The sequence below is a fragment of the Homo sapiens genome, chromosome 22 (assembly GCF_000001405.40).
Source record: "Homo sapiens chromosome 22, GRCh38.p14 Primary Assembly".
Taxonomy (NCBI): Eukaryota; Metazoa; Chordata; class Mammalia; order Primates; family Hominidae; genus Homo; species Homo sapiens.
Genome location: NC_000022.11, coordinates 29,453,534 through 29,478,167, shown reverse-complemented (window position 1 = coordinate 29,478,167; position 24,634 = coordinate 29,453,534). Strand labels below are relative to the sequence as shown.

The window sequence follows — 24,634 nt, the reverse complement described above, 5'->3', positions numbered from 1 at the left end:
GAGAGTGCGCTGGGAGGAGGGAAGAGGGGGAGGGAGTTTCTGGTTTTGCATGAAGCAGCAGAACATGATGAAGCATTTTTCCCCCATCTAAAGATCCAGTCGTGCTCCAGTTTGCAGAGGGCAAGGGGCTGGTTGCAGGTGGTGCTGGGAGGATGGAGGTGAGTGGCTGGTCTGAGGTCCCTGAGAAAGGCATGGGGCGGGTGTTGGGCAGGACTCCCTTGCTCTCAGATGGCTCCCCATTTATTTGTCATTCTACTTGGAATTTTGCCATTGGAGCCTTGTTCCTCTGGGTCTTTTCAGTCTGCACAATGCTGATACATTCTCTGGATGTGAGAAGGCTCACAAGCAGCTGACAGCAAGGAGGAATGGGGGTTTGGGGTAAAAAGGGGGCTCCAAGATGTATTCTGTTGAGGCCAAGGGGCCACAGCCATCAGATTGAAGCTGCCTATGTAGTCCAAGAAGCCCCAAGCATGACTCTTGTGGCTGGAGAAAATGGCATGAGGGCTGGAGCCCTGAGGTCAGTTCCCCCAAAGGACCCTTCAGGCTCACCTCCAGAAAGCCATCCCTGGCCGCCTTCACCCCCACATTTAGTTAATTGTCCCCTCCTGGTGGTTCCCATGGTTCCCAGTGCTAATCTCTAATGCTGCTCTTACCACTCTGTGGTGTGTAAATGAATCAATGAATGAATAAGTTCCGTCTGTTTTCCAGCCAAACTTGTGGTCTGGAGGGGCTGTGAATGGTTCTGCCCTGAGTCCTTGGGGCTCGAATCGCTTTCACTTTCCTCCCTGTGATTCTTACCATTTGGAAGTGAGTAGAACGATATATTCATCTATCTATCCATCCATCCATCCATCCACCCGCAGTTCTTGGAGTTATCTTCCCAAAGCCTGGACTTGGCAGTGAGCATTGTGAATCTCCCAGAGGCAAGTAGAGTGTGCTGAGTTTCCCAAACTTAACTGCTCTTGGGCCCTTCTTGTCCCCAAGTGTCTCCAGGACAAGGGTCCAGTGGCTCACACTGAAAGGCACACTGAGATTTGGGTCTCAGCCCCTGCTGTCCCTGGGCTTTTGTGGACCCCAAGGCTGGTGCTCTTCAGGAACATACTTGCAGGGTGAAGGATAAAGCAGTAGGCGCTTAAACAGCCACCAGCCTCGCTGCTACTCACTGTTCACTCGGCAGGGATCATTGTCCCTATTTTATAGGCAAGTAGACTGAGACCCGAGTGAGGAAGTGGGTTGCCTGAGTTGACTCAGTGACACAGCAGAGCCCAGTGTCTCAACTCATCCAGACCTGAGCTGGCACAGGACACAGGGTGGAAACTTGTTTCTCTTGCATAGTAGAGGCCTAGATGGTCTGAGGGTAGAGGATTGAGAGGCCTTCAGAGAGGGGATGGGCAGCTTTCTGGGGCTGGGGTTGGGGTCTGGCCTCTGACAGATCACCCATCTGTGAGTCTCTGTGGCCCATGACCCAACATCAGCATAGCCTGTATGTGAGAACCTACTTCCCGGCCTGGGTACCCTCTGACACTGTGTCACCTCTGTGGGAGCTACATGTGACCACTGTTTGAGGTGCAGATGCTAAATTCCTCGTTCTCTTTTCCTGCTTGTTTTTTCTCCATAGGACTTGACGTTTTCTGACATGCTACTATGCATCTTCTCCACTAAATAGAACTTCATCAGGACAGGGATTTTTGTTTGTTTTATTCACTGCTGACATCTCCAGTGCTCGGAATATTGTCTGGCATATAGTGGGTGCGTAGCAAATAGTTTCAGGATGACTGCGAGGCTCTGCCTGAGAGGCCCGTGATCACCCAGACATTTTAGCACTGGGCATCTGGACAGTTCCAGGCCCTAGGGAGGCTGCCCGCAGGTTGACTGGAGAAGGAGGTCTTGAAAGTGTGGCCCCCATCCTGGGGCCTGAAGCCTCCCAGCCCGAGCTGTGTAGTCCCCTTTGCTGAGGCTCAACCTTGCTGGCTTTGTTGTCTGCAGACTCACCCTGCTCCTGCACAGCCTGTTCCTTTTTATGTTCAGCAATTCCTTTTAGGAAGTGCTGAGCCTTTCTTCTTGCTTCCTTTCCCCGTGAATGTCCGTCATGTCCCACATTCTCCGTCTCTCCTCTTGCCCCTCTCTCCACTGCATTCCCTTCCTTCTCCCTCTATTATATCCCTCCCTCTTTCCCCCCAATTTCTCTGTCCTCTTTATTCCTCCCCTTTTCCTTCCTCTCCCTCCTTTTTTCTCCTCTCCCTCCTTAGAGATGCCGTCTTTTTGCCGCGTTTGAATCTGATTTATAATAAAAGGGCGGCAGTCTCCCCATGTCTACTCCGTTTAGGACACAGACAGCAAAAAACTAAACTGTGTGCAGTTTTGCATAAGCCTCCCCCTCCTAGCTTCCACCCACAGCCTTAACCCCCAGGGACCAGCCACCGCAGACTCAGGCCTGCAGCAGGTCTGCCTGCCTGCCTGCCCGCCCATCTGCCGCCCTGGGACTGCACCAGGTGGGAAGCTGGATTCTACCCCAAAGGCCAGGAACTGGTGGATGGGGTCACAGGTCCACCCTATCTCCCCTGCTCTAGTTCCTGCTGTGGGAGATTATGGATGAATGATTCTTGGGCTGTGGTTCCCAAGATGGAGAGTGAGATGGTTTATTGGACTTTCATCTAGTAACTGGGGCTTGCCAAGTTACAAGTGCCCCAGGGCTGTCATTACTCTTCTTACCTAGAGCAAGAGGCTAAGTAGCAATGGGAATGAAGGCTGTCATCTAAGGAAAGGAGGAGATGCCTGGCCTCTCTTATTCTTGCAATCCTATGAAATAGATACCATTACTATCCCCATGTCATGGTTTGAGAAATGAAGAGAGGCTGGTCATGGTAGCTTATGCCTGTAATCCCAGCACTTTGGAAGGCCAAGGTGGGAGGATCACTTGAGCCCAGGAGCTTGAGACCAGGCTGGGCAACATAGCAAGACTCCATCTCAATAATAATAATAAATAAGTTTTTTAAAAAATGATGGCTCAGGTTGAATAACGTGCCCCAGGTTATACATCTGATAAGTGGTGGAGCTGGGATTTGAACTCAGGTCTGATGGGCTCTGCAGGAGGAATACTGAACTACAAGACTGTACATCTCGCATTCAAGGCAGGCCCAACTGGACCCAGCACTTTCCTGATTCCATCACAGCTGGCCAGGGTCTTTGCTCTAGGGCTTCCTTCTGGTGCCTTGGTGGAAGCAAGGGGGATTGAAAATTGGCTCAATCAAAATTTGTTTCTTTTCCCCCAGGTTTTTATACTCTCTCTGGTTGTCTTGAGGGAAGGAGGCTTCCCAAGCAGTATAGTCAGGAAGTTAAAATGATGACTAGCTCAGCTTTCTGGATGATCCTGACTGAAGAGATAGATAAGTAGAAAGAAGTCATTGGACAGTGATTGATGTTCACAGTGTACATCTTTTTTTTTTTTTTCAAAGTCTTGCTCTGTCGCCCAGGCTGGAGTGCAGTGGCACAATCTCAGCTCACTGCAACCTCTGCCTCCCAGGTTCAAGTGATTCTTGTGCCTCAGCCTCCCGAGTAGCTGGAATTACAGGTATGTACCACATGCCTGGCTAATTTTTGCACTTTTAGTAGAGGTGGGGTTTCGCCATGTTGGCCAGCCTGGTCTGGTCTTGAACTCCTGGCCTCAAGTGATCCACTCGCCTCGACCTCCCAAAGTGCTGGGATTACTAACGTGAGCCACTGCACCTGGGCTCACAGTTTAAATCTTGAGTAATGGAGAAAACAGCTTTGTCATCCTTTACGTGGTGGGCACCTGCCTGCTGTGCTCCACGTACATACGTGGTGTCTGCAACAACTCTGTCAGCTGTGCAAGGTCACTGTCCTCTACAGAGTAGAACATCGACACTGAGAAAGTGACCTGCCAAGGCCACAGAGTGAGGTGGTGGAGGGGCTGTGGCTCACATCTAGGCTTTGTCCAGGACCCTTGCACCTCCCACTATCCATACTGACTCTCAGGAAAAAAATAAGAAAAGGTTTCAGTGCTGTTTCATCTCTTTATTCTGGGGGAGAAGGAGGGAGCCCATAGTACATTTGAGAGAAAGATTCATGCCAGAGTTTAAATTGGAATGTTGGGGGCCGAGTGCAGTGGCTCACACCTGTAATTCCAGCACTTTGGGAGGCCAAGGCATGCGGATCACCTGAGGTCAGGAGTTCAAGATGCCTGGCCAACATAGTGAAACCCTGTCTCTACTAAAAATACAAAAATTAGCCGGGTGTGGTGGTGCGTGCCTGTAATCCCAGCTACTCAGGAGGCTGAGGCAGGAGAATCACTTGAACCCAGGAGGCGGAGGTTGCAGTGAGCCGAGATCACGCCATTGCACTCCAGCCTGGGTGACAGAGCAAGACTCTGTCTTGAAAAACAAAACAAAAAAAAACGGGATGTTGGGACTTGAGGGAGAATTAACAGTTGGATAAAAGTTCATTCCTGATGGCCAATGTTGGCATTACTGAGCCCTAAAAGAGGCCCCCCAGGCTGGGCACGGTGGCTCACGCCTATAATCCCAGCACATTGGGAGGCCAGGGTGGGAGGATCGCTTGAGCCTAGGAGTTTGAGACCAGTGTGGGCAACAAAGTGAGACCCTGTTTCTACAAAACAATTTAAAAATTAGCTGGGTGTGGTTGTGTGCATCTGTAGATCCAGCTACCTGGGAGGCTGAGCTGGGAGGATCATTGAGCCCAGGAGTTCAAGGCTTCTGTGAGCTATAATTGTGCCACTGCACTCCAGTCTAGGTGACAGAGTGAGACCCTGTCTCTTAAAAAAAAAAAAAAAGAAAAGAAGAAAAGCCCCTGCAAGTGGGCATGGCCCCAGGCTTGGTGGACATGAAGCTTCCCCTGCCCAGGGGCAGCTGCACCCTGGCTTGTCTCTCTGCAGCTGTGTGGGGACATGGAGGACTCGGGTGCAGCCTGGCACTGCCAAAGACAGCAGATGCCAGCATGAGAGAGACATGCCAAGAAAGTTTCTGAAACCTCTGCCTCAGCCCCGAGCGAGGCACTCCGTGTGCATGGAAAACTGCAGGAGCCCAGAGTGAACCTGAACCAGGGACCTGGCCACACACAGCAGGGACAGCTCTGCTGGGCGCCTGAACTACCTTCTGGCATTTGGGGAGGTTAAGTGGCAGAGGAAAGAGGAAGCAGGGCTTGAGGTCTTTGCTGTCTGTTAGGGGGAGTTAGTGGAGAAAATATACTTTTTATTAAACGTTTTGCTTGTGTGGTGGTCACCACAGAATTTCATTGCAAATTCCTGGGCTCGTCCAGATCATCCAAGTCAGAATCTCTGATGGAGCCTGGGGATGTGCATTCTGAGCCAGTGTCCCTAGAGCAGGAGAACTGACTCTGGATCTGGCCTCAGCCAACCTTCCAGGCTCATCGTTCGAGCTCCCACAGAGTCTTTCACATAGACTTTTACAAACATGATCTCATTTAAGCTCCACAACTCTTTATCTATCTATCTATCTATCTATCTATCTATCTATCTATCTATCTATCTATCTGTGTATCTATCTATCTATCTAGTATTTTGAGATGGAGTCTTGCTGGAGTGCAGTGGCGCGATCTCGGCTCACTGCAACCTCTGCCTCCCGGGTTCAAGAGATTCTCCTGCCTCAGCCTTCCGAGTAGCTAGAACTACAGGCACGTGCCACCATGCCCAGCTAATTTTTTTTTTTTTTGTATTTTTAGTAGAGATGGGGTTTCACCGTGTTAACCAGGAATGTCTCGATCTCCTGACCTCGTGATCCACCCGCCTCAGCCTCCCAAAGTGTTGGGATTACAGGCGTGAGCTACCACGCCCGGCCCTAGGCTCCACAACTCTAAGAAGCTTTGGTGAGTAAACAGGCCTGAAGAGGTGAAATCATTTGCCAAGCACAGAACCAGGATTCAAAACTTTGCAGTCTGGCTCTAGAATGCCACCCCGTCCCACCTCAGGACTGGCCCTCTCCTGGGAATTCCTTTCTCCCTCATCCTCCATGTCCTTTCTCTGTGGAGCCGTGTGCCCTGCCCATATCTAAGTACATGTCCTGGGATCCAGGGGATGACATATACTGGAGTCCCTGGTGCCCATGCCTTCTGACTCCTCCTAGACCATGAGCTGAGGGGACAGAGAGTGGCTCTTGCACCTGGGGGGCTCAGGGTGTGTACAGTGGGTGAACAAATGGGGGGACATTTGAGGCCCAGGCAGAAGGACACAGAATGTTCCCTGGTGGCAGCTTAGGAGGGGGCAGGGGCTGGGCAGAGGGGGCAGTTGTGTCCTTCCCTACCTGAACCTCTTCTACTCTCTGGGTCCACCGCCATGAAATTATTCATTCTGCCACATTCTCTTGCACCCTGGCTTTCTGTCTGAAATCCTTTCTCTGCCCCAGTATTCACTCTCCGACTCTTCAGCTCACTCCTCTTAATCCTTGAGACGTTCCAGGTTACCTGCTCCCTCAGGAGCTTTGCTAACCCCAAGGTTGTGATAACTGCTTTCTTTAGGCTCCCACAGTTGCTCGTTCTAATCCCAACACGGTATTTGAAGGGCTATTTATTTCTCTCCTGACTGGACTGTTGGGAGCTTTGTAAGGGCAAGAGCCATCTCTTATTTAATGTTGTATTCCTAGGGCCTGGTACCAGAGTATTAGTAAAGCTTGTTGAATGAATAAATGCGATTCAGCGGTGACTTCCCATAGATGCTACTCCATGTTATTCATGTCACTGTAATCCATCTTGGGCTGCATTTCACAAGCCAGCATTGAAGAAAGCTGGGCTCAGAGAGCCTTAGAGACCATCAGTGGTACAGATGAGGAAACCGAGGGCAGGCCTGGTTCTCACTGCCTCGCCTCTGGTTCTGCGACTGGAGCTCCGTGAGGACAGGAACCAGGACTTGGATGTTGTTTTCTGGCTTGGCAGGGTGCTTTGCCTGTGATCACAGTCATTGCCTTTTACTAGGTGCTTATAAGGTGCCAGCCCCTTTATGTGTTTTTCCACGTTTGCATATCCACAGGGAAGGGAGGTGCAATTATCCCCATTTACAGATCAACAAACAGGTGTAGGGAGGTTAAGTAATTTGGTTATTTATCAGTGTCTTCTGGTTCCTTTCATAAATTTATCTGGGTTCCACTGTAGCCTCACAACATTGTCATCAAACCCACTTTCGGCGGTGCAGTGGCTCACACCTCTAATCCCAGCACTTTGGGCGGCCAAGCGAGAGGATCGCTTGAGCCCAAGAGCTCGAGACCAGCCCAGGCAACACAGAAAAACCTCATTTCTACAAAAAATAAAATAAAATAAAAATAGCTGGGTGTGGTGGCGCGCCTGTGGTCCCAGCTCCTCGGGAGGCTGAGGTGGGAGGATCGCTTAAACCTGGAGAGGCGGAGGTTGCAGTGAGCCGAGATCACGCCACGGCACTCCAGCCTCGGCAACAGAGCGAGACCCTGTCACAAACGAACACTCTCCAGAGGGGGAAACCGAGGCCCTGGGACTGCAGAACCGGTTTCTCTGCCTCGGCATACTGCCTCGGCTGGCTCTGCGCTTGATAGAATCGCGCCAGCAACAGCGCCCCCTGCAGGCGACGGCGGGCACGCCTGCGTCACAGCCATCCCCGCCCTTCCGCAGTGGGAACGCCCGAATGCTTCATCCGGCCTCGGAAGATTGAAGAGCGCTCCTCCAAACTGGCTCAGGGAAGCCGGGCGCGCCGCCTTCAGCCCCGCCTTGGCCGCCGCGGCGTCGCATCAGTGGCATCCCCAGGGGCTGCAGGAAGGTAGCCGTAGCCTTGGCTGTCGTGGCTTCCCTCATCGTAACGGCCTGGGGGCAGCGGTGCTCAAAGAACTCAGGGGGTGGGGCTCAGGTAGGGGCATGGCCGGTGCTCTTCCTAGGGGCGGGATCCTGGGAAAGGGGATCGTCCCAGAAGGACCCAGCCACAAGCGAGGACACCGGTGCATCAAGCCCTGGCGCCTGTGTTTCCGTGAACAGCGCCCTTCTCCTCCTCCCCAGACATTGGTCCTGGCACCTGTGTGTCCGTGGGCAGCAGCCTCTTCCTCCTCCCCAGACCTCAGTTTCTGCACGTGTGAAAAGGGGGCTCTTCCAAGACTCTTACATGAATGCAAAAATCGGGATTTCGTCCAGCATGCTCAGAATTGTCGACCCTACACAGGCACCTGAGAAATCAGAGCTGAGTCAGGAGAGCCGGTGTGGATGTACTGGGAGCTCCTTCCCTTGCTGCGTCAGCACTCTTGAGACTGGAGAGCCCTGGAGGTTGGGGACCGGCCACTTGCTGGTGGACCAGACTCCCTGCAGTCTGGGATGGTGACAGACATGAGACATGGCTGTGGAAGTAATTGGTAACAGTAGTAGCCCGCATTTATTGAGCACTGACTATGTGCTTGGCTTTGTGTGAAGGCCAGTCACATGCATTATTTCCCCCTCCCACAGCCTTGTCTGGTGGGTACTGCTATTCTGTCCCCAGTTTACTGATGAGACATTTGAGGCCCAGAGTTGCTGGGTAGTAACCAGTCCAAAGTCACCCTGCTGACAAGTAGCTGAAGCAGTAGTCCCCAGTCTTACCTACTATACTGTACTGAGAAAGGTTTGACCTGGAAGGCAGAATGGCAGAGGGGGAAATGACAAGGTTCTAGCAGTATTAATAATAGATACCATGCATTGAGCACCCACTAAGTGCTGGGTGCTGGCCCAAGGGCATTTCATGAATCATTTATCCTCCTGACAGTGAACCCTATACTGTAAATTTTATTTCCATTTCAAAGGTGAAGCTCGGAGAAGTCACTTTATATGCCTTAGGGCACATATAGTAAAAAACTAACTTTTCGATTCATTGATGGTGCATTCTGCCTGCCTGCATGTCACTCTTAGGCATATTCCACTCTTCTCTGAGTCAAGCTTTCTCCTACTGTGAAATGAGAGGCTTGGACTGGGAGACTTTGAATGTTCTTTCCCCAGCCGATGTTGTTTGATTTTAGGGAGTTTTGACATGAATGTTGGAGATCTGGATTTGAGGATTACATTTGTTCCTAATTAACTGTAATTTAGGCACATCTCTGCATCTCTGGGCTTCAGTTTCCGCATTAGTAAAAGGTAAGACTAGACCAGGCATGTTGGCTCATGTCTGTAATCCCAGAACTTTGGGAGGCTGAGGAGGAAGGAGGATTGCTTGAAGCCAGGAGTTTGAGTCCAGCCTGGGCAACAAAACAAGACCCTGTCTCTACAATAAAAAAAAATTAAAAAGTTCAAATTAGCCAGGTGCAGTGGCTCATGCTTGAAGTCCCAGCTACTTGGAGAGCTGAGGTGGGATACTCACTTGAGCCCAGGAGTTTGAGGCTGCAGTGAGCTATAATCATGCCACTGCGCTCTATCCTGGGCAACAGAGCGAGGCCCCGTCTCTAAAAAGAAAATGGGCTGGGCACGGTGACTCACACCTGTAATCCTAACACTTTGGGTGGCTGAGGTGGGAGGATCACTTGATCCCAGGAGTTTGAGACCAGCCTGGGCAACATGGCAAAACCCTGTCTCTACGAAAAATACAAAAAACTGGCTAGGCATGGTGACATGTACCTGTGGTTCCAGCTATCTAGCTATCCGGGAGGTGGAGGCAGAAGGATCACCTGAGCCCAGGAGGTTGAGACTGCAGTGATCCATGATCACGCCACAGCCTTGGCAACAGAGTGAGACCCTGTCTCAAAAAAAAAGAAAAAAAAATTACAGAGATTAGCATTTCCAATCACCAGAGTGCCTTCTGGCTTGAATATTTTATGACTGCAGATGAAGAGACAACCTGAGGTTCAGCAAACTGCATCCTCTGAGAAAGTCTAATGAACGTAAATCTGCTACCTTACTCAGAATGTCCCTGGCACAAGTTTCCAAGGATAGACCCTCTGTGTGAAGGGGAGCAGCTGCCTTTGAGCAATCAGCAGTAACTGCTTGGGGAGGCTTAGTCCCCTAATAGTTCAGAAGTCACCTCCAAGGTCAGACGGACCCACAGCTGAACGCCAACACTTCCACTTCTCGGTAAGGCATCTCAGGCAAGTGACCTTTCCTTTCTGTATCTCAGTTTCCCCCGTATAAGATGGAATGCTGGCTGGGCACGGTGGCTAATCCCAGCACTTTGGGAGGCCGAGGCAGGCAGATCACCTGAGGTCAGGAGTTAAAGACCAGCCTGGCCAACATGGTAAAACCCCATGTCTACTAAAAATACAAAAATTAGCCAGGTGTGTTGGCAGGCACCTGTAGTCCCAACTACTAGGGAGGCTGAGGCAGGAGAATCGCTTGAACCCGGGAGGCAGAGGTTGCAGTGAGCCGAGATTGCTCCACTGCACTCCAGCCTGGGCAACAGAGCAAGACTCCCTCTCAAAACAAAAACAAACAAAACAAAAGGATGCTAATGGTACCAGCTTCATCTGGGAATTGGTGAGTAAACATGGGGGGAAAAATCTAACACCATTTTTTTGGCCTAGAAAATTCTCAGTAAACACAACTGTTACTAGTTGTGTCTGCAGCACCAGTCTGGGCAGCACCAGTCTGGGCACTGGGGGAGTTCCTAAGCCTTGGACCCCACCCATCCTCTATGCCCTAAGATGATTTTAGGGGAGGAGAGGCAGGATCCTGCTGAGTCAGTGGAGGATCCAGAGTTAGGACTCAGGCAGCCCCCACCTCTGAGGTTGCCAACACCAGCTTCTGGCCTAAAGTGGCATTAATGGGCATTCTAGCATGTCCCTAGCTGGCAGCAGCTCCTGGGGAGGGGCAGCGGCCGCTGAGAATAGGGAGGCAGAGGAATGGTGTTAGGAGTCCTGCAGTGTGTGCCGGGGACTATGGCTCAGCGCATCCTTGTGGTTCCAGGTGAGTTAACTGAAGTGTGTGCCGTGCTTTGGGCTTTTATGAAGTGCATTTGCATCAGTTGTGTCCTCAGGACAGGGTTGAGTGGCATAGGATACAGGGTTCTCAACGAGCAGTATAGGGATTCGACTACTGCAGACCTGTACAAGGGATCAGGAACCCCCAAAACTGTGCAGGATTGTGTGGGTGATTCTCCAGAGGCATAAGACCCAAAAATGTCAAAAGAGTTCTTGATTTAGGAGTCAGAAGACCTGCTCACTAGATCCCATCCCCATTTCTCCCTTTCTTCCACCCTTCTTCTTCCTTCCTTCCTTCCTTCCTTTCTTTCTTTCATTTGTTCATTTGTTCGTTCATTTTAGAGACAGAGACTTGCTGTGTCGCCCAGGCTGGAGTGCAGTGGTGCAATCTCAACTCACTGCAGCCTTGACCTCCTGGGCTCAAGCGATCCACCCACTTCATCCTCAGCTTCCCGAGTAGCTGGGACAACAGGTGCACACCACTATGCCTGGCTAATTTTGTTATTTTTTTATTATTATTTTTTGGTAGAGACACCCCATCTCACCATGTTGCCTGGCTGGTCTCGAACTCCTGGGCTCGAACAGTTCTCCCACCTTGGCCTCTCAAAGTGCTGAGATTACAGGTGTGAGCCACTGCACCTGGGCCTTCCCTCCTTCTGTCTCATCCATTCAACAGACATTTCCTAAGATGTGTTTCAGGCCCCACCCTGCACTGGGAATACAGCCATGAAGAAGACAGGCTCCCAGCTCCCCAGCAAGTTTGGGGCCAATTTTGTAAGAACTGATAGAGGGGGCAAGTCCAGGGGTTGTTAGAGCTTCAAACTGGGGCTCCTGACCCAGCATGTGGTGGGGGGCAAGCTGGGAGTCAGCAGGGGAGTCCTGGCTCAGTGCCTGTGGCCTTGGGTAGGCCACTAGCCTTGCTGAGCCTCAGTTTACCCCCCTCTCCTTGATGGGACCACTTGACAGAATGGGGTGAGGATGGAGGAGATGCGGGCCTGGTGGAGCCTCCTCAAAGGGGATGTGGCTGTGTTTCGGCTCCCATGGAGCCAGGACACCACCCGGGCACCCAGGCTCACAGCACAGTGCTCCCTTTACTTTGTTGGAGCTGGAGCATTTCCCGTTTGAAACAGGCCAGAGGAAGAACACTGGTGAGGAAGTCAGAGATCTGGCCCTGGGCCCCAGGGCTCTGCCTGGCCTCACTGGCCAACCTCAGACACCTTACCGAGGGCCTTAGGTTCCCACCCACACACACAGGAGGCCAGGCTGCCTGATCTTCTATGGACAAATACATATGAGCAGCGGGGGTACCAAGAAAGGTGAGCAGCCAGGGAGAGCCTCCCAAAGGAGGTGGCATAGCTGCAGCCTGAAGGATTGAGAGCAAGAGTGGGGAAATAACTGGATGGGTTCCCTGGTCCCGAAGTGTTTCTGGTAGAACCTCTAGGGGTGATGGAGGAATGTGGGGATGGGGCCCTGGGCTCGGGGAGGAGAGAAGGAGGGTCGGGGAGAGCTGCCCCTTTGCTCCAAGGCTCTCTTAACTGGTGACAAAGAGCAGGCCCTTGGGGCCAGGAAGGCCTCGGTTTGAATCCTTTTTGACATTGCTTCATTAAGGACCCCTAGGTAAGGGTTTCATCTGTCTAAGCTTCATTACTTCCATCTGGGAAATGGGTGATAATCATACCACATTCAAAAGGTTGTTGGCTATTATATGACTTTATTTATATGAAATGTCTAGAATAGGCAAATCTATAGAGACAGAAAATAGATTAGTGGCTACCTAAACCTGAGAGGATAAGGGACTTGGAGAGTGATAGCTAAAGAGTATGAGGTTTCTTTTTGGGATGATGAAAATATTCTTTTTTTCTTTTTCTTTTTCTTTTTTTTTTTTCTTTTGAGACAGAGCTCACTCTGTCACACAGGCTGGAGTGCAGTGTTGCAATCTTGGCTCACTGCAGCCTCCGCCTCCCAGGTTGCAGCAATTCTCCTGCCTCAGCCTCCCAAGTAGCTGGAACTACAGGCTCATGCCACCATGCCTGTCTAATTTTGTATTTTTAGTAGAGACAAGAGTTTCACCATGTTGGCCAGGCTGGTCTCGAACTCCTGACCTCAAGTAATCGGCCTGTTTCAGCCTCCCAAAGTGCCAGGATTACAGGTGTGAGCCACTGTGCCTGGCCTGGGGTGATAAAAATGTTCTAAAATTGATTGTGATGGTTGCACAACTCCATAAACATGGCATTGTTGCTTTAAATGGTTGAGTTGTATGGGATGTGAATTATCTCTCAATAAGGCTGTTATTAAAAAACCAAGAGGTTCAGACGAGATGTTCCACGCTCCCTAAATGTTGGCTGTCACTGGTGTTATTTACTCCTGGCAGCTCTTCCAGCCCTCCTCCAGAGAGGGCTGATAGGTTCCGGGAGAAGGGGAAGGGGCCTGGGCCCCTACTAGCTGGCTAGGGGCCCCAAGCAAGCTACATAACCTCCCTGAGCCTCAGTTTTCTCATCTGTGAAATGGGTGGGGGCGGTTTTCCAGGCCTTGGCCACCTCTTTGGACACTGTGCTGCTCAGATCAGACCATGGGCTTTGCTAGATATAGTTACATGGCCAGTTGTAGAGAAGGGCAGTGGGGGGATTGGATGTTCTCTCCGTCTGCACCCAGAGGGGCTGACTTCACACATCCGCTCATGGTTGCATACCGAGTGTGTTTTGTGAGCAAGGCACCATGCAGGAGATGGAGGAGGGACCGCAAGAGCCTGTGCCCCAGCCTGCCTGGAGCTCAGAGCCCCAGAAAAGGGACACGCAAGGGTTTGCCAGGGCTGATGGGAGCACTGCTGGCTGTGCAGGCCATCATTTCATCACTCTGGCCCTCAGTTACCTCATCTGTAAAAAGGGGAATAAATGGTACCTCCCTGCTAGGGTCGTGCTGAGGCTCACAGTGGCTGGCATAGCATCTCTAGTAAATACACAGGAACCATTGTCGTCACTATGGCTATCAATATCATCAGCCATCAGGTGCCTTTTGTCCCCTCCCCCCCTCCCCTTGGCTAACTTGTCGCATGGTGAATCATGTCAGGGCTAGCTTTCCTGTCTCTGTCCCTGCCCCAGAGCATCAACCAACTTCCAGGGTGGAGCCTGGATGCTCCCTTTTCAGACCCAGCCCACGCACCCAAAGAAGCTGTAGGCTCCTCAGTGAGCCTCGAGCCCCTTTCCTGCCCCCATTTCTTCAGGCCCAGCTGCAGAAGGCATGACCCTCTGGCCAGCCCGAGACTGAAGCCTCCCTCCTGTCCTGTCCTCTCCTTCCACCTGGCTGCAGGGTAAGGTCAACAGGCCACCCCCAGCCAGCCTTTCTGGGCGTTCTACTCTCTCTGCGGCGAGAGCCAGTTGAGCCCAACTCAGAATCTCCTCCCGCATTCCTCCACCTGCAGAGCCGCAGCAGGGCTGGGGACCTGGCCTGGGCCTCCACAGCCTCTGCAGCATCCCTGTCACTGTGGTGGGCGAAGGGCCCAGATGGGGGGCAGGCATCCCTGCTGGATGCTAGTCCCTGCTCCTGACCAGTAGCCGCAGTGCCTGATTTATGGCTCCCTCTGGGCTCTCTCCAGCAAAACTGCTTGCAAACCACTCCTGGCCTGTTCTTTTCTGGGTCCTGGTTTGCAGACAGGTTGCCTCAGGCCACAGCCTGCAGCCCCACCCCACCACACCCCCAGTCCCCAACCACCAGGCACCTGGGACATCAGGGCAGGTTGTGCCTTGAGAAGAAGGACAAAGTTCCATCCCAGCCCTGCCATGGGTGGGCTGGATGGCCTAAAGTGGCTTATGGAACCTCTCTGGGCCTCAGGTTTGCTGTTTGCACATTGAATGATCTTGAAGGTATCCTCACTGATACCCATGCTTCTGAGTTTCCTTCACATGGCCCCACCGCCTCCCAAGTCTTTTGCCTTGGAACTGAGTCTCCTTTTTTTTTTTTTTTTTTTTGAGATGGCGTCTTGCTTTGTTGCGTAGGCTGGAGTGCAGTGGCACAATCTTTGTTCACTACAACCTCCGCCTCCTGGGTTCAAGAGATTCTCCTGCCTCAGCCTCCCAAGTAGCTGGGATTACAGGCGTGTACTACCATGCCTGGCTGATTTTTGTATTTTTAGTAGAGAGGGGCTTTCGCCATGTTGGCCAGGCTGGTCTTGAACTCCTCACCTCAAGTAATCCGCCCACCTCAGCCTCCCAAAGTGCTGGGATTACAGGTGTGAACCACCATGTCTGGCCTGGAACTGGGCCTTCCATGTGTCTAAATGGAGACCCCAGCAACCAGGCCAGGTGAGCAAGAAAGAACTAGGCCTGGGTGGGTGATGGGTACTGGAGACACCCATCTTTGGAGCCCCACAGCCTTGGGCAGGACCGCTGGCTTTTTCCAGGCCACTCTCTTGCCTCCCTGAGCCCCATCCATAAAATAGGGAGAGTCGGACCTGAGCTATTGCAGGTGGATCCCTGTGCTAGACACAGCTTGAGCGGGTGACAATAAATATGGGTCTCTTTTCCCTTCAAGGCCTGGCTCAGCATCCTCAAGCCTGGTTCCCAGGGGCTGCCAAGTCCAGGCCACTGCAGACAGTGGGAGCATGGGCTGTGGGTGGGCATTTTGTGGCCAGCGTGGGGGTGGGGGTGGCGGTCATCACTGTGCCTCCAGGTCATCTGTCTGATCCATGAGCAGGAAGTGGGGAGGCCACAGTGGTCCCCAACACTGGGTGTCTGCAAGGAGGGCGTGGAACTGTCGAGAGCTTGGTGGCCTGTTTGCTCATGTGTGCATCCACTCAGACATATTTAGTCAGCATCATCTTCTTCTTCTTTTTTTTTTTTTCTTTTGAGACGGAGTTTCACTCTTGTCACCCAGGCTGGGTCTCAGCTCACTGTAACCTCTGCCTCCTGGGTTCAAGCGATTCTCCTGCCTCAGCCTCCCAAGTAGCTGGGACTACAGGTGCACGCCACCATGCCCGGCTAATTTTGTATTTTTAGTAGAGATGGGGTTTCACCATGTTGGCCAGGCTGGTCTTGAACTCCTGACCTTAGGTGAACCACCTACCTCGGGCTCCCAAAGTGCTAGGATTACAGGTGTGAGCCACCGCACCTGGCCTAGCCAGCATCTTCCTGATGGCCACTCTGCACCTGGGTCTGCAGAGGACCGTTCTAAGCACCTTACATGCATTAACTTGCTTTTATCCTCACGACAACCCTACAGGGTAAGCACTGGTCACATCATTTTTGCTCAAGGTAACACAGCTGATAAATGGTAGAATCAGGGTCTGAAGCCGGGCCATCCTTTCAAGTCCATGGCAAACGCCTTTTCTCAGCTTCGCACTGCCCTCAGCACCAGCCTGCTTCCTGCTCATCTGGAAGCAGCATTGCATCCCCGCTCTGGCCTTCGCTCTTGCTGCTCACCGCACCGCCCCCTTTCCTGACTCCCTTTCTCCTCTGATTGAACAACAAACTGATAGCCTTCTAGACTCAGCTGTATGGCTGGGTGCAGTGGCTCATACCTGTAATCTCAGCATTTTAGGAGCCTGAGGTGGGAGGATCACTTGAGGTCAGGAGTTCAAGACCAGCCCGGGCAACATGATTGAAACCCTGTCTCTACAAAAAGTACAAAAATTAGCCAGGTGTGGTGGTCAGCGTCTGTAGTCCCAGCTACTCAGGAGGGTGAGGCAGGAGGATTACTTGAGCCTGGGAGGTCAGGCTGTAGTGAGCCGAGATTGCACCAGTGTACTCCAGCCTGGGCAGCGACAGTGAAACCCTGTCTTGAAAAATAAAAAAATAAGACTCAGCTGTGGCATCACCTCCTCCAGGAAGCCTTCCTTGATGCCCTTCCTGTCCCAGGCTGAATTAGGCTCCTCCACTGGCCTCTCTCAGTTTCCCCTGTCCGGCACTCATCCATCTTGTTGCAAGCATCTGTTCATGTGTTTACCTCCTCTACCAGACTGTAAGCCCCTCGTCCTCACCTTGACACCCACTGTGCCTGGCACCATTTGTGGTACAGAGGAGATCACTGGGGAATTTTGAAGGGCCAAATCTTTTTTTTTTTTTTTTGAGATAGAGTTTTGCTCTTGTTGCCCAGGCTGGAGCGCAATGGCACAATCTCAGCTCACCACAACCACCGCCTCCCGGGGTTCAAGTGATTCTCCCACCTCAGCCTCCCGAGTAGCTGGGATTACAGGCATGCGCCACCACAGCTGGCTAATTTTGTATTTTTAGTAGAGACAAGGTTTCTCCATGTTGGTCAGGCTGGTCTCAAACTCCCAAACTCAGGTGATCCACCCGCCTCAGCCTCCCAAAGTGGTGGGATTACAGGCGTGAGCCACCATGCCCGGCCTTTTTTTTTTTTTTTTTTTTTAATGGAGTCTTGCTCTGTTTCCCCGGGCTGGAGTGGCATGATCTTGGCTCACTGCAACCTCTGCCTCCTGGGTTCAAGCAATCCCCCCACCTCAGCCTCCTGAGTAGGTGGGATCATAGATGTGTGCCAGCATGCCCAGCTAATTTTTTATATTTTTAGTAGAGACAGGGTTTTGCCATGTTGGCCAGGCTGGTCTCGAACTCCTGACCTCAAGTGATCTGTCTGCCTCAGCCTCCGAAAGTGCTAGGATTACAGGCATGAGCCACCATGCCTGGTCAGATGACCAAATCTTGATCGTTCGTAACCTTGTGAATAGTGGACAAGTTCTAGTATCTGTTTCACAGAGGAGGAAACTGAGGCACAGAGAGGTGACATGATTTTCGCAACTCACAGAGCTAGTGGTGACAGAGCTGGCATTTGTTGGAATGGCCTCCATTTCAGAACAAGCTCCTAGAAGGGTTTACCAAACCAGGGCTTAAATTTTTTGAATTATTTATTAATGGCTCAAAAGTCTGAAGGCGCGAAGGGTAGACAGTGAAAAATCTCCCTTCTCTTCTGTCCCCAGCCACCCAAATCCTCCTAGGGAAGCAGCCGGGGTGATCTGATTCTCAGGTGTCCTTCTCAGCAGTGTGTGTGTTCCCAGACAAACCCAGCATGTGTTATTTAGAACCAGGTTTAAACCCAGGCCTGTGGGATGCCCATCTCACCTGGGGCTGCTCAGGGCTTGGGACAGGGTCCACCATGTCCTGGCAAAGATATCGGGCCACCAGAGGCCTCCATCTCCCCATCTGGGGTCCCCTCCCTGTCCCAGGTCCCCTCCGGCTGTTGCTGTGCCTCCTCAACGGAGCTGCCTGCCTGGATCTGCTCCCCAGGCTGCAGCAGAGGCTGGGCTCAGGCCCACAGCCCGGCAGGGCTACAATGGTGAAGGGCTGCTTTGGGCTGAGGGGGCCTCCCTTCAGGCAGTCTGACACTTGCTTTCATTATTCCTCACAGAACGGGCCCAGTGTGGGGAAACAAGCCCAGCAAAGGCAGGGGCCAGAGTGAGGAGGCACTGGGCAGGCGGGGCACACAGGGCACATCACGGCAGGGCAGGGCAGGGATGCTGGCTCCACCCCTTTCTGCTGGGAACCGAGTGGGCATAATAGCTCCCCGAGCAGCCTCTTTTCTCTGAAGATTAAGAGACAGTACCTGGAATTGCTTGGAGAATGCAGTAAGCGCTCCAGAAGTGGTGACTGGAGTGTTATAGTTAGGGAGGCTCCGGGCTTTTCCACCACCCTAGACTTCCCTGTGACCCCTGAAAAGCAGAGACACAAGACCCTTGGGGCCTGTGCTCAGGGCTCTGACCCAGTCCCTTCCCCTGTGTGCATAAATATTTGGGGGATTGTTGTTGTTACTCTTTTTTTTTTTTTTTCTTGAGACAGAGTTTCGCTCTTGTTGCCCAGGTTAAGGTGCAGTGGCACAATCTCGTCTCACCGCAACTTCTGCCTCCCAGGTTCAAGCAATTCTCCTGCCTCAGCCTCCTGAGTAGCTGGGATTACAGGCATGTGCCACCACGCCCAGCTATTTTTTTGTATTTTGCATAGAGACAGCGTTTCACCGTGTTAGCCAGGATGGTCTTGATCTCCCAACCTCAGGTGATCCGCCCACCTTGGCCTCCCAAAGTGCTGGGATTACAGGCGTGAGCCACCACGCCCAGCCCTGTTGTTGTTACTCTTATTGGTGTCCAGTCTTATGATGTCCAATAGGAAACCAGGACTCCCACCTCCACCCTGTTGCCCAGGGTAGCTTTGGTGGAGGGCAGGGCAGCAGTGAATATGTGCACAGGTTTGGAGGGTGGGGAGGAGGCTACCAGGAGGCTGGGTGGGGCACAGACAGAGCACAGGGCTAGGAACCAGGCCTTTGGGGTTCCCCTCTTACATAGGAGCCCTGGGTCTGCCTGAATCCAGTTCCCTCCTCTATGAAATTAGGGTGATCATCCCTCTCCCCATTAACTTCATGGGATTTGGGATGCTCTGGGGAGAGAATGCATGAGAGAATCTTTGCCTTGAACTCCTGGCCTCAAGTGATCCTCCTGCTTCAGCCTCTTAAACTGTAGGGATTACTGGGATTACAGGCATGAGCTACTGCACCTGGCTGGGGATCTTTGCCATCTGCAAATCAGAGGTGGCAAGCAGGCATCCACAGGCCTGCAGAACCACAGAGGACATTAAAGGGATTTGATTTGGAAATAGTAGTAATGATTGTGCAATATTTTGAATATAATTAATACCACTGGCCTGTACACTTAAAATGGTAAAAATGGGCAGTTTTGTGTATAGATTTTTTTTCTTTTCCTTGCCCATCTTTTTTTTTTTTTTTTTTTTTTTTTTTTGAGACAGGGTCTTGCTCTGTAAGCCCAGGCTGGCATGCAGTGGTGTGATCTTGGCTCATGGCAACCTCTGCCTCCCGGGTTCAAGTAATTCTCCTGCCTTAGCCTCCCAAGTAGCTGGGATCACAGGCATGCACCACCACACCCGGCTAATTTTTGTATTTTTAGTAGAGATGAGGTTTCGCCATGTTGGCCAGGCTGGTCTCGAACTCCTGACCTCAAGTGATCCACAGGCGTCGGCCTCCCAAAGTGCTGGGATTACAGGCGTGAGCCACCATGCCCGGCCTTACACAGCCATTTTAAATATGGAAAAAAAAAAAGAGGATTTGAGTTAGTTGCCCTATCAGTCAGAAAAACAGAACCCACTTTAGGGGGTCCAATGGGGGAAATTTTGGAAAGCCAAACAGGAGGCTGGACAGAGGTGGGTTACCCAAACCCATGGCCTGGGACCACAGAGGTCTATCTGGAGGGAATTGTAAGTTTGGAGAAGACCCAGCCACTGCCCAAAGGCTGGAAAAACCCGGGCCTCTTCTATCTGCCAGTCTCCCTTCAGTGCCTCCCATTGGCTGGACCTAATCAACGCCGGTTTGCAAAGGAGCTTGGGAAATGTAGTTTGAAGGGTTAGTTCCCCCACCTTTCCAGATGGTGAGCAGAGGAGGGACAGCAAATGGATGTGAAATCATACAGCAGGCAGGGCATGGTGGCTCATGCCTGAAATCCCAGCACTTTGGGAGGCCAAGGCGGGAAGATGACTTGAGGCCAGGAGTTTGAGACCAGCCTGGGCAATATAACAAGACCCTCATCTCTACAAAAAATTTTAAAAAATTAGCCAGGCATGGTGGCACACACCTGTAATCCCAGCTACTAGGAGGCTGAGGTGGAGAATGGCTTAAGCCCAGAATTCGAAGCTTCAGTGAGCTATGATCGCACCACCGCACTCCAGCCTGGGTGACAGAGCAAGACCCTGTCTCTTAAAAAAAAAAGAAAAAACATCATATGGCAAATGAGGGTTATAGTTGTCAACATGAAATGACTGGGCGATTTAGCATAAAAATCTGGATTTATAGATTCTCCTGAAACACCAAAGGCTCCACTCCCTTGAGTCCAACATCTTAGCCTAGTTTTGCTGTTTACATTGTCCTTGGGGAGCCCTGCTGAGGAGTCCTGAGAAGCCTACAGGGTGAGGGGCATGAGGGGACCCCATATCCTTCAGGGTGGGATCAGAGGAGGAGAAGCCATGAGGACCCTGAGGCAGGTGGGCTGAGCAGGCAGGGCCAGGGGATCCAATGGGGCCATCAGTTTCTAGAGAGAGCACATTGGGGATCTGGAACTGTGGGGACCTTCCTATTGTTGCTTTTGTGTGTGTGTGTGTGAGACAGTCTTGCTCTGTCACCCAGGCTGGAGTGCCGTGGTGCGATCTCAGCTCACTGCAACCTCTGCCTCCCAGGTTCAAGCAGTTCTTTGCCTCAGCTTCCCGAGTAGCTGGGACTACAGGCGCCTGCCACCACTCCCAGCTAATTTTTGTATTTTTAGTAGAGATGGGGTTTCACTATCTTGGCCAGGCTGGTCTTGAACTCCTGACCTCGTGATCCACACGCCTCGGCCTCCCAAAGTGCTGAGATTATAGGCGTGAGCCACCACGCCTATTGTAGCTTTTAGAGACTGTCTGGTCTTAACGCAACTGTGAGGGTTGTGTTTGTTCATTTTAGTTATCTTTCTGACACTGTCAGGCCCTGTGTTCTAAATTTTCCAGGAAAGCCCAACGTGTAAACTGATGACAGACTATCCTGGAGGAAGAGGTGGGGCAGCCTGGAGTTTTCCTCTGGACATCCTGAGAGGGATACTGAAGCACTCAGGAGGGGTCTTAGACCTGCCCAAGCTCACTCACACAGTTTGAGAAGAGCTGCGCTTAGACCACAGGCCTCTTGGCTCCTGGGAAGCTGAGAGCATCGGCGTGGGAGTTCGTCAGACAGGGGCAAGTTCCAACCGCAGCTCAGTGACCTCAGACAAGCCCCCTCACCTCGCAGAACCAGGTTCTTCTTCAGAGTTGTAGGAAGGAGTGGAGGAGGGTCTCCGCATGTCAGATGTCCACACAGTGCCTGGGAGCTGAGGTTGTCATGGTTACCAAGAGGCCAGTCTCAGGGCTGCTGTGATGACCTGGGCTGCTCTCCCATTCCCAAGAAGGGGAGAACTCCTCAGATTCCCTACTCTGCTCTTCTTGCTCCCTCCCAAGCAATACATGAGCAGGAATTTGTCCTCTGCAGGAATGTGCAGCGAGAAAGTCTCCTTTTTTGATGAGACAGCGATGAGGTGATGTCTGGTTTTTTATATCCTCACTTGCTGAACTGGTGCCAGATGTAAGAGTCCAGGCTGGATTCCATTAGCCATATTTGTCCTCTGGGCTCCCAGCCCTGCAGGACCTTCTGGGGGCCCACCTTGAGACCCTCCAGTTGGTAAGAAGTTGGCTGGGGCAAATGATGCAGCCCTAAGACGAACCATTTCCACTGGGGACTCAGGCAGGGTCCCTGAGAGCCTGACTTACTCGAGTCTTTTCTTTAAAAATTAAAAAAACAAGGCTGGGCGCGGTGGCTCACGCCTGTAATCCCAGCACTTTGGGAGGCCGAGGCGAGTGGATCACGAGGTCAGGAGATTGAGCCCATCCTGGCTAACATGGTGAAACCCCTTCTCTACTAAAAATACAAAAAATTAGTCGGGCATGGTGGTGGGCACCTGTAGTCCCAGCTACTCAGGAGGCTGAGGCAGGAGAATGGCGTGAACCCGGGAGGTGGAGGTTGCAGTGAGCCGAGATCGCACCACTGCACTCCAGCCTGGGCAACACCGTGAGACGCCATCTCAAAAAAAAAAAAAAATTAACAAAACACATTGATCTTTTTTTTTTATTTTTACCGAAGTAAGAAACCCTTTGAAGTTTAGGAGCTGCAACTAATCCACGTTGAAGGCTAATCGGAGGCCTAGATAGGTTAATACCTTTCCCAGAGGAACCCAGTGGTAAATGTAAATGTCAGATTGATCAATTGTAGATTGAACTTCAGAAGCTGGAGTCCTCATTACTATTCTGGGGTGATGGTCGACTCTATTTGCTCAACAGAAGGATCAGTGGCCTGGAGAATTTGAGATAGTTGGTGATAACATTATAGGATTCTATTTTAAATGGGAAAGAAATTCCTAAAAGTTAAACGCATGTTAAAAAAAACTATATTAAGGCCGGGTACAGTGGCTCTTGCCTGTAATCCCAGCACTCTGGGAAGCCGAGGTGGGAGGATCGCTTGAGCCTAGGAGTTCCAGATTAGCCTGGGCAACACAGTGAGACCCCATCTCTAAAAAAAAGAACAAAATTAGCTGGCATGTCATTGTGCACTTGTAGTCTCAGCTCCTTGGGAGGCTGAGGTGGGAGGATTGCTTGAGCACAGAAGGGTGAGGCTGCAGTGAACTGTGATCACACCACTGTGCTCCAGCCTGGGTGACAGAACAATACCTTGTCTCAAAAATAAAAAAATTCATATACAAAAATGCCTGAGGTATACAATGAAAGCTCTTGAAAGCCACTGTCTACAGATAAGCATTAGAGCCACTTACACAGATTTTTTCAGATTTTTCTATGCATTTATATGTTAAAATTTATATTTTTAAAAGATTAACACTATACATTCTGTTTTGCAGTTTGCTTTTGCAAATAGCAGTAGCTCCTGAAATGTGGAAATTCTTTACCTGGCTGATTCATGACAAACTTGGTGGGAGAAGTAGCTGGTAAAGTTTTATGCAAAATTGTGTGTTGTGTGTATGTGAGCATTCTTTAGAAATAGTGACTATGATTCTCATCAGAATCTTAGGAAAGATTCAGACCCAAGACCCTTGATTTCAGATGGGGAAGGGACTCAGTCCTCGGGCTGGCCTTGAAGGATGAGGACAAGAATGCTGCAGTCGCCTGGCCCTGGGCATCCTGCCCTGGCCTTGGAGAGGAGCTGCATTCTGCAGAGCCAGAAGGAGGACAAGAGAGGCAGCCTGCCCAAGCACCAGGCTGAGCCTCTGCAGTCCCTGCCAGGAGAAGACTTACAGCCGCCGGGAGCTTGGGAAGGTTACAGAGAAAAAGCCTCTCGCAGCACTTGGGAGGACACTGCCTGCAGCACCGCGCCTGCTGTGGGCCTGCTCCAGGGTCAGGGAAGCCTCTGAGGGACAGGCTTGGGGCACAAGGGTGGGTGAGGGGCAGGGGAGAGAGTGTACTCTCTGGGCCAGGACCCCGGCACACCTAGCACACAGACCATGGGGAGGGTGCCAAACACAGGACTTGGCTACATTTTGTTACTGTCACTTTGAGTATTACCTGTGCAATCGAGCAGGCTTTATGGATCTCAGACTGCCCAGGACTTTTCTGGCTGCTATGGGAGGATGTAAGATTTACCAAGAACACCAGCCACCACCCAGAAAGCAGGTTTCTCATGTGAGCCCTGCGCCAAGCACTGTATGTGCACATGCCAGATTTTAATTTGCTGTGGGGAGGTGCTTTTATACTCGCCACTTGACAGTGGCCCCCAAAAAGCCAAGAAACCTGTCCAAGGCCCATGGGATCAGCAGGTGTTGATTTAATACTGGTACCCCCAGTTGCAGAGTCCCCAGCCTCAACCATAGGCACTCTCCTCTGCCCCCCGGGGAGGGACTGCCACCCTGACTCAGGGATGACCTCTGCGAGATGAGAGCAGAGGGGTTTTGTTCTGTTTCAACCTTTTTTGTTGTTTGTTTTTGAGACGGAGTTTTTGCTGTGTTGCCCAGGCTGGAGTGCAGTGGTGCAATCTCAGCTCACTGCAGCCTCCACCTCCTGGGTTTAAGCAATTCTCCTGCCTCAGCCTCCTGAGTAGCTGGGATTACAGATGCATCTCACCATACCCAGCTAATTTTTTGTGTTTTTAGTAGAGATGGGGTTTCACCATGTTGGCCAGGCTGGTCTCAAACTCCTGACCTCAGGTGATCCACCCACCTCGACCTCCCAAAGTGCTAGGATTACAAGTGT

The 24,634-nt window shown here is 51.6% G+C and overlaps 1 long non-coding RNA gene across 1 annotated transcript, besides 4 other annotated features; it reads left to right on the top strand.

Annotated features, from left to right (window-relative positions):
* LOC107985541 (uncharacterized) lies at positions 42–24,384 on the top strand. The gene is made up of 4 exons (XR_001755482.2): positions 42–158; positions 5,719–10,035; positions 21,362–23,376; positions 23,492–24,384. It is a non-coding gene; the product is annotated as an uncharacterized LOC107985541 (long non-coding RNA).
* Positions 7,524–8,024: an enhancer, noted in NCBI's record as "H3K4me1 hESC enhancer chr22:29866133-29866633 (GRCh37/hg19 assembly coordinates)". NCBI's record gives its function as "activates a minimal SCP1, AML or CMV promoter by ChIP-STARR-seq in primed H9 embryonic stem cells {active_cell/tissue: H9 hESC(primed)}" and the evidence as "EXISTENCE:reporter gene assay evidence [ECO:0000049][PMID:30033119]".
* Positions 13,761–14,288: an enhancer, noted in NCBI's record as "H3K4me1 hESC enhancer chr22:29859869-29860396 (GRCh37/hg19 assembly coordinates)". NCBI's record gives its function as "activates a minimal SCP1, AML or CMV promoter by ChIP-STARR-seq in primed H9 embryonic stem cells {active_cell/tissue: H9 hESC(primed)}" and the evidence as "EXISTENCE:reporter gene assay evidence [ECO:0000049][PMID:30033119]".
* Positions 14,289–14,816: an enhancer, noted in NCBI's record as "H3K4me1 hESC enhancer chr22:29859341-29859868 (GRCh37/hg19 assembly coordinates)". NCBI's record gives its function as "activates a minimal SCP1, AML or CMV promoter by ChIP-STARR-seq in naive and primed H9 embryonic stem cells {active_cell/tissue: H9 hESC(naive and primed)}" and the evidence as "EXISTENCE:reporter gene assay evidence [ECO:0000049][PMID:30033119]".
* Positions 17,594–18,145: an enhancer, noted in NCBI's record as "H3K27ac-H3K4me1 hESC enhancer chr22:29856012-29856563 (GRCh37/hg19 assembly coordinates)". NCBI's record gives its function as "activates a minimal SCP1, AML or CMV promoter by ChIP-STARR-seq in primed H9 embryonic stem cells {active_cell/tissue: H9 hESC(primed)}" and the evidence as "EXISTENCE:reporter gene assay evidence [ECO:0000049][PMID:30033119]".
* Positions 24,385–24,634: the final 250 nt, after the last annotated feature.